This window comes from Homo sapiens, chromosome 20 (assembly GCF_000001405.40).
Source record: "Homo sapiens chromosome 20, GRCh38.p14 Primary Assembly".
Taxonomy (NCBI): domain Eukaryota; kingdom Metazoa; phylum Chordata; class Mammalia; order Primates; family Hominidae; genus Homo; species Homo sapiens.
In genome coordinates, this window is record NC_000020.11 from 32,427,328 (window position 1) to 32,440,332 (window position 13,005).

Below are 13,005 nucleotides of genomic sequence, written 5' to 3' on the forward strand. Positions count from 1 at the left end.
CATAGTGTCTACCTCTTCTTCCTGCCTCTAGGCTTCCCGCGGTTGCCAGATGAAATTCCGAAAACTCAAATCATTCCTGTAGTTAATATTCTTCAGTGACTCCGGAACAATCAAATTCTTGATCCCTCCACATGGGTCTTACCATCTGCCCTCGTGCCCTCTCTAGCTTCCTGCATATTGAGTTCCCCACAGCCCTAGTTTCCCTGAGTTTGGAATATTCTTTCACATTTGCTCATCCCACTATCTAGAAACTTCCTACAATCTCTCTACTGCCAACCTGTCTGTCTAGTTGCTAATTTATTTTAAAACCCAGCTTAAGCAACACATCCTTTTGGATGTGTTACTTCCCTGATCGTTATTCACCTCCATGCCGTCTTTCGCTCAACTCATTGAAGTTAGGTGCCCCTCTTCTGGGCTGCCACGGCTCTCCATGTTCACCTATGTACTGTACTTTGTATTGTAATCAGTTTAATTGACCCCCCTACTTATTTGAGCTCCTTGAGAGCAGGGCCTTGATTCCTGCTCCTTAGCACTCCACCCTCCCCAGAACTAACATGGTATAGCTTATAGGAGGCACCCTATAAATGTTTAATGAATGTTTGAATGCAAAAGTGTATCTAACTTTCTTAATGATATATTTATGAAAAGAACTTGCTGAGAAAAAGGTCAGTTAGAAAGGGTTAGGAACTTGTCAGTATTCTAAATCCCTCTTTTTCAAAAGCATACACATTTAGGAATGACTGCCTTGCTTTAAGAATTTGTAGGGTTTTGTTCACCTGAGTTGTACCTTGCTGTCACAGAAGGATGCCCTGCAGTGGTCTCGCCATCCAGCTACAGTGGAGGGAGAGGAGCCAGAGGACACGGCTGATGTGGAGAGCTGTGGGTCTAATGAAGCCAGCACTGTGAGTGGTGAAAACGATGGTAAGGACCCTTTAATGGATGGGTGAGGGAGCCACAGCAGGCACTAGGGACTAACCTTTATTTTCCTCTCTTCCAGTATCTCTTGATGAAACATCTTCGAACGCATCCTGTTCTACAGAATCTCAGAGTCGACCTCTTTCCAATCCCAGGGACAGCTACAGAGCTTCCTCACAGGTAAGGAAGAGGTAGAGCCTAGCCTGGGAGGATGAATGATGACAGGTATAAGGCAAGATCCCTCCTTCTCCTGTAGTGAGCTGTGAACATGTTCAGAGAGTGAAGAATAGAAGTCTGGTCTCCAGCTGTTAGTAGCATTTAACAGGGGGCCGCAGGAAAAGTGAACAGTAGGTTTGAGCAGAGTAAGTTTTTTCTCTTTCTTTACCTTGGCTGAGTGATTTTGTTCATTCTTTTTTTTTTTTTTTTTTTTTTTTTTTGAGATGGAGTCGCGCCTGTCGCTCAGGCTGGAGTGCAGTGGCATGATCTCCGCTTACTGCAACCTCTGCCTCTGGGGTTCAAGCAATTCTCCTGCCTCAGCCTCCCGAGTAGCTGGGATTACAGGCACGTACCACCGTGCCTGGCTAATATTTGTATTTTTAGTAGAGATAGGGTTTTGCCATGTTGGCCAGGCTAGTCTCGAATTCCTGACCTCAAGTGGTCTGTCCACCTCAGCCTCCCAAAGTGCTGGGATTACAGGTGTGAGTCACCATGCCTAGCCTGATTCTGTTCATTCTTGTAATATACACGTGAACATTCAGGGAGAAGTGTGGTTAGTGCAGAGTAGAGAGAACAGGAGATTGGGAGTGAGCAGTTTGAATGATAACCCTGCACTTACTAGCCTTGAGACTTGGGGAAAATTCCTTACCTGTAAAATGGGGATAACAGTACATTTTTGTAGCTTGGAATGATGCTTGGCACAGTGACCAGCACGTAGCTCAGTAACATTAACCAGTGCTCTTGTCAGCATTATTTGACAGATCTGGTTGAAGACGAACTTCATTTTACAAGAGCGTGAGTAGAGATAGTGTCGCCAGGGAATGCTTTTGTGGCTCTGCAGTTGACTTGGGCTCTCTTTTGTTCTCTCTTGGAACGCAGGCGAACAAACAAAAGAAAAAGACTGGGGTGATGCTGCCTCGAGTTGTCCTGACTCCTCTGAAGGTAAACGGGGCCCACGTGGAATCTGCATCAGGTATGTGTAAACTCATGGTTGTGATGCTTTTTCCTCAGGTCCTGGGGACCTGGCCTCCCTCTGTCAGCAGTTTCTGACCTAATAGTGCGATACTAGGAGAGCTGTCGGGCCACAGGCAAGAGCCCTGCCAATGGATGAGGCCTGCCATAGGTTCTAGTGCTGGGCTCTGCTGTGTGCCTTCCTCTTTGTCTCCCAGGGCAGTCGTGAGGATCCAACGGAGGATTTGATTATGCCAGTGCTTTGTAAAAGGTGTAGTGCTATACAAATAAAGATGGCAGTTTGGCACCTGTAAGGTGATATTTTAAAGCCAGACCATGAAGTGGTGGTTTCTCTCAGCCTAAGGCTGGGAGATGGAAGCATCCCAGTATTGCTGGCAGCATCTCAGGGAGAGCTGGGAGAAATGAGCTTGTCTGAGAGCCATGGGCGCGGCTTGGTGATACTTTTGACCAGTGGAATGCTGTGCCTTCAGGGTTCTCGGGCTGCCACGCCGATGGCGAGAGCGGCAGCCCGTCCAGCAGCAGCAGCGGCTCTCTGGCCCTGGGCAGCGCTGCTATTCGTGGCCAGGCCGAGGTCACCCAGGACCCTGCCCCGCTCCTGAGAGGCTTCCGGAAGCCAGCCACAGGTGAGTGGCGTGGCACTTATTTCTCTGCCTGTAAAGGGGGCCCCTGCAGGCCTAGTGAGAAGATGATGTCTTCTATTCCAATTCCTTTACCAGTTTATTTTTACTTCTTGGGTGGCCCTCTATTTTTTGTTTATTTTTACTTTGTAATTTGCTTATTTCATTTGTAGCTCTCTGCTAAACTGTGAGAACTCCTTTCAGGCAGAGATGATGCCATACTGTTTCTCGTATGTCCCTGTAGGCCTAGTCTATGCCTGCCTTGTACTGCATAGTAAGTGTTTGAGTGAGTGAAAACTGCTTCTGAGCTTCTCAGTGAAGAATTCCAACACCCCTTTTCTCTCTTCGGTAGCATGTTGCCACATTTGTTCCCAACATCTGTAGTCTGTATCAGACGCTCCCTTTTTTACAACCTAGTCAGTATGTTGAGTGGAAGCATGTGTTGAATTTTGGGGATGCAAACAAATTCAGTAGTGCTATTATCTATACCTCCCACCCCTCACCCCACCCCACCCCCATTAGGGTTATTTGCAATATTAGTATGCTCTTTGCTATTTCAGGATTTAATTCTTAATGACCCACATGCTGGTTTTTTTTGTAGATGAAACCATTAAGAAGACAAGCTTTTGCTTCTGAGAATTAGAGTAAACCTTTGCCCATGTGAGAACTAGGTTTGCTGTCTTGCTGCTTTTCCAGCTCATCAGCAGTGCTCAATCTAAGGTCTCACAGGTCTCTAGTCCTAGTGAGTTTTTCAGATAAAAGTAACATTTGCTGAGGCTTCTGTGAGAGGTATTAGCATCTCAGTTGGCTTTGAACAGTCCTTAGTACATTTCTGCATGGAGATCATCCCTCTCCAGCCCATTCACAGAAGGCTTCTGCAGATTTTTCTATAGTATACTAACTAGATTTACTTTTAGATAATTCTCATGATTTCTCCAGTTGAGCTTTGTGGAGCCTGTTCTCCAGCTTTGGAGGGAAGCTCAGAACCTGCCCCTTGCCTGATTTTCTGTGGGAAGTGTCCTTTTCAGGCTGTGACACAGCACGGTACAGAGTTTTGTCTGAGGAGATGCAACCCCAAGTGTTCTCCTGGGTTTGATGGCAATGACAGTAACCTGGAAAGAATATACAGGTTAGGATGGACTGGACAATTGAGCAGATTGTGTGCAGATAACTCCTGGGTAGCTTGGGTGCTGTCACCAAAGTTTTCCCATCAGTTGGCATTTGTTTTTTCTTTTAAAAAGCTGAAATCTATACCTTGCTTCAAAAATCATAGGTCAAATGAAGCGCAACAGAGGGGAAGAAATAGATTTTGAGACACCTGGGTCCATTCTTGTCAACACCAACCTCCGTGCCCTGATCAACTCTCGGACCTTCCATGCCTTACCATCACACTTCCAGCAGCAGCTCCTCTTCCTCCTGCCTGAAGTAGACAGACAGGTGCACATGGGCAGCCTCCCCTTTGCCTCTCTCTGGGTGGGCTTCTGTTCTCTTTTAAGTTTATTTATTAGGATTTTTTTCCCCCTTGATCCTTCTAGGTGGGGACGGATGGCCTGTTGCGTCTCAGCAGCAGTGCACTAAATAACGAGTTTTTTACCCATGCGGCTCAGAGCTGGCGGGAGCGCCTGGCTGATGGTATGTAGACTTGGTCATCTCGGACGGCTTGCGACGCACCTGTCGTGTGGTGTTGCATGTCTCCTGGTATTTAAAACCCAAGCTCGCTCTTCTCAAAGGGTTATTTAGTATAAGACAGGCTTTCCTCATTACTAATAAATGTGGTGGGTATTAATATGCCACACAGCTCTGAAGAAATAACAGGGTGTTTAGGTTTAGACTTTCACTATATTGTATGTATGTACTCATTCATCATCTCCTTTTTATCATTAAAACTATAAACACCTATTCCAGTAATCATGGCATGGTCTGGAAGGGTGGAGGAAAGTACACTGTGGAGTTGAGAAGCTCCACCATGCTCTGTCTTTTTAGGCATTGTCACTTGGAGTGATTGTTAGCTTCTATTAATTTAATTTTGTGGGGAAAGTGTTGAGAGGGCTCTAAGAACACCCCTAGGTTTGATGATTTGCTAGCAGGACTCAGCATATAGTTATATGTACAGGGCTGCGGTTTATTACAGCAGAAGAATACAAAGTAAAATCAGCAGATGGAGAGGCACATGGGGTGGGGTCCAGGGGAAACCATGTGTTGGCTTCCAAGGTCCTCTCTCAGTGGTGTCACACAGGACACATTTAATTCCCCCAGTAACAAGTTATGATAACATGTATGAAATGTCTACTAGGGAAACCTGTTAAAGACTCGGTGCCCAGGGTTTTTATCAAGGGCTGATCATGTAGGAAGCCACTGCTTGGCACATACCCAGCTTCCAGATTCCCAAAAGGAAGGCAGGTGTTCAGCATAAGCCGTATTGTTTGCATAAACAATTTAGGCACAGTGAACAACTCATATCAGTTAGGGTGGTTGGGAACCCTCCTGAAATCTAAGTTCCCAGATGTCAGCCAAGGGCTGTTCTTTTAAGTAGGCCTTTCTAAGAGTAAACAATCAGGCCTACCTACTATGTTAACTTTTTATCTACACAGGAAATATGAATGGTTCTTTTGTTTGTTGTTTTGCTTTTTCGATCAAGGAGTTGCTTGGTCTCACTTTAAGGAAGAGTGAATTTCCCTTATAGTAGATGTGTTAGCTCTGTCCCTATAAGAGCATGATGTGAGAGAGCCTTTAGAAGAGACGTGTTGTTTTAAAACTGGGAGATTCAGCTGTCCATAAGACAGACATTAATATCCCGAATGCACTTACTAGAAGAGGTTTATTTCTCCCTAGGTGAATTTACTCATGAGATGCAAGTCAGGATACGACAGGAAATGGAGAAGGAAAAGAAGGTGGAACAATGGAAAGAAAAGTTCTTTGAAGACTACTATGGACAGAAGTAAGGCAGTTGGAGCTATGAGTCCTGGTCTGGGGTTTTGAGGGGATAGAGGTAGATGGTCTCAAAATAGCATATACTTATGTGTTGGACAAGAATGTGGAGATTGCAGTGACACTTGGGTCATTTATCTTAATGCCATTCATAGTGAAGCTAACAGAAGTTTTTCCATGGTTAGATTGTGCACCACACAGATTTATTTTGTTCTGAGATATCTGTGTTTCTGGGTCCATATTATTCATAGAAATAAGAGACATGTCCACTCTGGCCTGAAACTGATGGCTGTGATTTTGATTTGCAGGCTGGGTTTGACCAAAGAAGAGTCATTGCAGCAGAACGTGGGCCAGGAGGAGGCTGAAATCAAAAGTGGCTTGTGTGTCCCAGGAGAATCAGTGCGTATACAGCGTGGTCCAGCCACCCGACAGCGAGATGGGCATTTTAAGAAACGCTCTCGGCCAGATCTCCGAACCAGAGCCAGAAGGAATCTGTACAAAAAACAGGAGTCAGAACAAGCAGGGGTTGCTAAGGATGCAAAATCTGTGGCCTCAGATGTTCCCCTCTACAAGGATGGGGAGGCTAAGACTGACCCAGCAGGGCTGAGCAGTCCCCATCTGCCAGGCACATCCTCTGCAGCACCCGACCTGGAGGGTCCCGAATTCCCAGTTGAGTCTGTGGCTTCTCGGATCCAGGCTGAGCCAGACAACTTGGCACGTGCCTCTGCATCTCCAGACAGAATTCCTAGCCTGCCTCAGGAAACTGTGGATCAGGAACCCAAGGATCAGAAGAGGAAATCCTTTGAGCAGGCGGCCTCTGCATCCTTTCCCGAAAAGAAGCCCCGGCTTGAAGATCGTCAGTCCTTTCGTAACACAATTGAAAGTGTTCACACCGAAAAGCCACAGCCCACTAAAGAGGAGCCCAAAGTCCCGCCCATCCGGGTAGGAGACTGTTTGATTCCTGGCTGCCCTGGAGCCAGGTTTTCTTTGAGGGTCATGAGATTATAGAGCCCTTAACTCTGGGGCCCTGAAGTTAATTATGTGGGAATGTAGAGCTTTTTATGAGAGGTTTGCTTGAGACAGCCTTCAAGTTTAGTGAGATAGGTTCTTTTCTTCCTCACTTTTTTGTTCACTCTGTTGAAGTTATCTTGAGAGGTCAAAATCCTTTGGGGTTTTAAAATCTTTTTAAGATAGCATTAGATTCTTTGCTATAGTGACTCACACAGTCCCACCAGAAATTAAATTTAGAAGTGTGGCATATAACAGCCCTTGAGCAGAATCTTCTCTGAATGGTGTGTTATGGCGCCATTTTACTATGATGATTTCATTGTTTTAAGGAAATTATTTGATTCTGTATGCCATGACCCTTAAGCTACTAGAATCCTAGTTTTGCTTTACAGTCCCTAGGTCAGATCACCCAGTCAGTTAAAACTATTTTCTAATTCTTTTTTTGCAGATTCAACTTTCACGTATCAAACCACCCTGGGTGGTTAAAGGTCAGCCCACTTACCAGATATGCCCCCGGATCATCCCCACCACGGAGTCCTCCTGCCGGGGTTGGACTGGCGCCAGGACCCTCGCAGACATTAAAGCCCGTGCTCTGCAGGTCCGAGGGGCGAGAGGTCACCACTGCCATAGAGAGGCGGCCACCACTGCCATCGGAGGGGGGGGTGGCCCGGGTGGAGGTGGCGGCGGGGCCACCGATGAGGGAGGTGGCAGAGGCAGCAGCAGTGGTGATGGTGGTGAGGCCTGTGGCCACCCTGAGCCCAGGGGAGGCCCGAGCACCCCTGGAAAGTGTACGTCAGATCTACAGCGAACACAACTACTGCCGCCTTATCCTCTAAATGGGGAGCATACCCAGGCCGGAACTGCCATGTCCAGAGCTAGGAGAGAGGACCTGCCTTCTCTGAGAAAGGAGGAAAGCTGCCTACTACAGAGGGCTACAGTTGGACTCACAGATGGGCTAGGAGATGCCTCCCAACTCCCCGTTGCTCCCACTGGGGACCAGCCATGCCAGGCCTTGCCCCTACTGTCCTCCCAAACCTCAGTAGCTGAGAGATTAGTGGAGCAGCCTCAGTTGCATCCGGATGTTAGAACTGAATGTGAGTCTGGCACCACTTCCTGGGAAAGTGATGATGAGGAGCAAGGACCCACCGTTCCTGCAGACAATGGTCCCATTCCGTCTCTAGTGGGAGATGATACATTAGAGAAAGGAACTGGCCAAGCTCTTGACAGTCATCCCACTATGAAGGATCCTGTAAATGTGACCCCCAGTTCCACACCTGAATCCTCACCGACTGATTGCCTGCAGAACAGAGCATTTGATGACGAATTAGGGCTTGGTGGCTCATGCCCTCCTATGAGGGAAAGTGATACTAGACAAGAAAACTTGAAAACCAAGGCTCTCGTTTCTAACAGTTCTTTGCATTGGATACCCATCCCATCGAATGATGAGGTAGTGAAACAGCCCAAACCAGAATCCAGAGAACACATACCATCTGTTGAGCCCCAGGTTGGAGAGGAGTGGGAGAAAGCTGCTCCCACCCCTCCTGCATTGCCTGGGGATTTGACAGCTGAGGAGGGTCTAGATCCTCTTGACAGCCTTACTTCACTCTGGACTGTGCCATCTCGAGGAGGCAGTGACAGCAATGGCAGTTACTGTCAACAGGTGGACATTGAAAAGCTGAAAATCAACGGAGACTCTGAAGCACTGAGTCCTCACGGTGAGTCCACGGATACAGCCTCTGACTTTGAAGGTCACCTCACGGAGGACAGCAGTGAGGCTGACACTAGAGAAGCTGCAGTGACAAAGGGATCTTCGGTGGACAAGGATGAGAAACCCAATTGGAACCAATCTGCCCCACTGTCCAAGGTGAATGGTGACATGCGTCTGGTTACAAGGACAGATGGGATGGTTGCTCCTCAGAGCTGGGTGTCTCGAGTATGTGCGGTCCGCCAAAAGATCCCAGATTCCCTACTGCTGGCCAGTACTGAGTACCAGCCAAGAGCCGTGTGCCTGTCCATGCCTGGGTCCTCAGTGGAGGCCACTAACCCACTTGTGATGCAGTTGCTGCAGGGTAGCTTGCCCCTAGAGAAGGTTCTTCCACCAGCCCACGATGACAGCATGTCAGAATCCCCACAAGTACCACTTACAAAAGACCAGAGCCATGGCTCGCTACGCATGGGATCTTTACATGGTCTTGGAAAAAACAGTGGCATGGTTGATGGAAGCAGCCCCAGTTCTTTAAGGGCTTTGAAGGAGCCTCTTCTGCCAGATAGCTGTGAAACAGGCACTGGTCTTGCCAGGATTGAGGCCACCCAGGCTCCTGGAGCACCCCAAAAGAATTGCAAGGCAGTCCCAAGTTTTGACTCCCTCCATCCAGTGACAAATCCCATTACATCCTCTAGGAAACTGGAAGAAATGGATTCCAAAGAGCAGTTCTCTTCCTTTAGTTGTGAAGATCAGAAGGAAGTCCGTGCTATGTCACAGGACAGTAATTCAAATGCTGCTCCAGGAAAGAGCCCAGGAGATCTTACTACCTCGAGAACACCTCGTTTCTCATCTCCAAATGTGATCTCCTTTGGTCCAGAGCAGACAGGTCGGGCCCTGGGTGATCAGAGCAATGTTACAGGCCAAGGGAAGAAGCTTTTTGGCTCTGGGAATGTGGCTGCAACCCTTCAGCGCCCCAGGCCTGCGGACCCGATGCCTCTTCCTGCTGAGATCCCTCCAGTTTTTCCCAGTGGGAAGTTGGGACCAAGCACAAACTCCATGTCTGGTGGGGTACAGACTCCAAGGGAAGACTGGGCTCCAAAGCCACATGCCTTTGTTGGCAGCGTCAAGAATGAGAAGACTTTTGTGGGGGGTCCTCTTAAGGCAAATGCCGAGAACAGGAAAGCTACTGGGCATAGTCCCCTGGAACTGGTGGGTCACTTGGAAGGGATGCCCTTTGTCATGGACTTGCCCTTCTGGAAATTACCCCGAGAGCCAGGGAAGGGGCTCAGTGAGCCTCTGGAGCCTTCTTCTCTCCCCTCCCAACTCAGCATCAAGCAGGCATTTTATGGGAAGCTTTCTAAACTCCAACTGAGTTCCACCAGCTTTAATTATTCCTCTAGCTCTCCCACCTTTCCCAAAGGCCTTGCTGGAAGTGTGGTGCAGCTGAGCCACAAAGCAAACTTTGGTGCGAGCCACAGTGCATCACTTTCCTTGCAAATGTTCACTGACAGCAGCACGGTGGAAAGCATCTCGCTCCAGTGTGCGTGCAGCCTGAAAGCCATGATCATGTGCCAAGGCTGCGGTGCGTTCTGTCACGATGACTGTATTGGACCCTCAAAGCTCTGTGTATTGTGCCTTGTGGTGAGATAATAAATTATGGCCATGGGAAACATTGTATATTTAGTGTGTGTATTTTGATAATGATTGATCTTAAATCTGTATACAGAATATCATTGATATAATACTCTTTAGGCAGGAGCACTCTTGCCTTCCCCCAAAATTTACACTGCTAAAGCCCTCTGTCACTTGGCGACCCTTCTGGTCTTGCTGGAGGGGTTTCCTGGGTATAACCCATTGGGCTGCCCAAGGCCAGCCAGCCTGAGCTCTCCTGCAAGACAGAGCCTGATGTGGCACGGAGTGGGGTTGCGGGGGGTGGGGGGACTGCCTGACTCCCAGAGGGACTTGAAACTGAAGCAAGAAGGTTGCATTCTCCACCAAGGGAGTTAACCTACCTGAACTAAGTAGAAATGCCAGTCTTCCACTACCCCCTCCCTGCCATCTTTTCTTCTGCTACTTTGGGGAGTTGATGGCCAGGAAAGAAGCCAGCACAGGGTTAAAGTAACTCCTGGCATTGCCCACCAGGGGGCTGGTGCACCTGCTGACCTCAGGGTCACAGTTGAGTCATTTGCCAGTTGACGGAGCAAGTTTGACCTTGGTTCTGTTGCTGAAGCAAATTTGGAACTTTTCTGTCTCAGTGTGATCCACTAACCCACAGGATCATTTGGAACCTTGAATAGCTCTGCTTGGACAATGGGGTTGGGGAATAGGGTTGTCTTTCCTATGAAAATGCCATCTGTAGACCTTGTGAGTCAGCCGTCCAGATGTTTGCAGGTGAATTCCTCTGCTTGACATCCTCCCTGTCACTTTGGACCCTATGGGAGTGGGCATCTCCACGCACCTGTGTATGTGAAAGTCATTTTACATTTCAAAGCAGTGTGTGTTTCTTATTTTTATATTTTTAACTCTTTATTCTTGGATGTATAAAGTGAACTTTTTGGCTTCTGTAAGTATGCTCTATGCACCTCTAATGTTTTATCATGTATTTATATGTTGTACACAGTACTGGCTGATTCTGTAAATGGATGTATTGTACAGAGAACATGAACGTCTCTTCCTAATTTTACATCTTCAGCATCATTGCATTAAAGTGGTGTAATCTCCTTCTCTACATCTGTTGTCAGAGCCACTGAGTGCTGTGCTGCTCGACGTGAGGGTGAAATGATTGACTTGTGACCTGCCAGGTTGCCCGATGCCCTGTTGGGTCACCGGCTGGACCTGCTGCAGCCTGCAGAGCCACAGTCAGCCTGCCCACATGCCACCGAGCAAACGCATCTTGCTTTTCACATCTCTCCTCCTACAGCCTTAATGGCTGCTTGCTGCCATATGTGACAAATCACCACCACCAGTGTTAAGTGCTTCTGGATTCATGGGTGAGTTCCCTGGGCAGCCCCCAGGAAGGCCTTCCAGATCTGGCTCCAGGGTCACCACCTGTCACAGCAATACCTGGGACCATGCTCTCCTGGGACTGTGAGGCTCCTTTTGACGTACTTTTGACATCAGGCAGGTTTGGGAAGAAACAAAGCCATGCCTGCTCCTGCCTCTCTCCCAACATGTTTCCAGCAAGTAGATGCCCCTGTGTGTGTTTTCCCTTGCCTTGTTTCCTGCCTTATATCTTGTATTTCGACTTATTACAGAGTTGAGGGTTCTTGCTTAATTTAGATCAAGTATAAAATTTGTATGACTTCAAGTCTCATTTTATCTGAAAGGTTTTTTTCTCATTTAATCTGATGTGGCATTTTCGTCATCTGAAGCATGAGTGACAAGTTGGGAATGATGTGGTGATTTAGAATGCAGTATTGGCCAAGTCCAAGTTGTCAACTTAAGCGTCTGTTTACCAAAGACCGGGAACAGGGGCCCAAACATGTCCAGTCCTCTTCTTCCCTCTGCTGGAACCTTTGGGGACACTCAAGGGTACAGTTTGACACTGATCTGGTCCATGAGGCTGCCCAGAGAAAGCACTGCTTCTGTATGTCTCTTGTGGTATTGGAACAATAAACCCGTACAACCTGCAGTTGTGGTCTCAGTCATCTGTGGCTGCCTCGCTGGTGTGGGAAGGTCAGCTGGAGTGCTGAGCTGGAAGGGAAGGAGTAGACGCCAGCTCTCCTCACCTTGGCTCTGGAGCTACTCTTCTTATACTTGGAGCTCTTCTTTTGGGAGGTTAGTCCAAAAGGAATGACTTGGCAGCTTCACTGGTCTTTAGCCATTCATGACTTGGCGGACTTCACCACATAGACTGCAGTCAGCGTTCTACTGAGAGCAATGAGAATGTTTCCCCTTGGGAGTGCGAGTCACAAACTGTGACATCCCTCTGCAGCAACTCATCCAAACAGCTTCACTGAGGTTGAGGTTGCCAAGTGGCTTCCTAATGGTTAGTGGTCTTCTGTGGGAGGGTGACTAGCTCTAACCTTGGAAAACCTTAACCACAAGCACCTCTTTCTGTAGCCTCTGGTGGCAGTGAGAGGAAGGTGCTGGCCCAGGGTGGGGTGTCTGATGCTAGTTGCGTGAGCCTGAGTAGACGACGTGCTTCAGGGATTGACTTCTTGAGAAGTCCTCAGACGTCTCTAGAGTACGTAAATACATTGACTTTGTGCTTATCAGAAATAATTTTATTAGTATATAAATAAGCCAAAACAGCAAAATGATGGGAGTTTAAACATATATTCATTAATTTTTTCCTGTGAATTGGAGGAAAAACTTTGTGGTGGGATATCCTTTGGGGAGTTCAAGCTGCCATTTTGTATTGCTGCCGTTTGATCGACATGCAGTTTTGAGAATTGATGGTTCGGAGGCCCTGTAGTGACTGAGCAACTGCCTGCTGTTGGTGATATGTCCTTGTGTCACAGAATCCATTTGCCCACTTATGTCTGCAGGAGCTCAGAATGCATTACGGTCCCAGATCGGGACCTTCCAATGCCTGTTGCCTCTCCTCAGGGAGGCAGAATGGTGTAGTGAGTTCCTAGAGTATAGCCTCTGCGACGTGCCAGCTCTGTGTTCTTGGGCCATGTTATTTAACCAGGCTGCCAA

At 47.8% G+C, this 13,005-nt stretch overlaps 1 protein-coding gene across 14 annotated transcripts in view; it reads left to right on the plus strand.

Moving 5' to 3' along the window:
* The window catches only part of ASXL1 (ASXL transcriptional regulator 1), an 80,989-nt gene extending 68,997 nt beyond the window's left edge, over positions 1–11,992 (plus strand). For 11 of the 14 annotated variants that reach the window (NM_015338.6, XM_006723727.4, XM_011528648.4 and 8 more), the window contains 9 exons: positions 801–921; positions 998–1,095; positions 2,011–2,104; positions 2,574–2,726; positions 3,994–4,157; positions 4,256–4,352; positions 5,553–5,658; positions 5,957–6,590; positions 7,105–11,992. In NM_015338.6, the coding sequence (NP_056153.2) occupies positions 801–921; positions 998–1,095; positions 2,011–2,104; positions 2,574–2,726; positions 3,994–4,157; positions 4,256–4,352; positions 5,553–5,658; positions 5,957–6,590; positions 7,105–10,011 (4,374 nt within the window). In that variant the 3' untranslated portion in view covers positions 10,012–11,992. Of the gene's footprint in view, positions 1–800; positions 922–997; positions 1,096–2,010; positions 3,850–3,993; positions 4,158–4,255; positions 4,353–5,552; positions 5,659–5,956; positions 6,591–7,104 lie in introns of those variants that run through there. The other 3 variants (XM_047439945.1, NM_001363734.1, XM_006723733.2) reach the window with 2 other exon arrangements.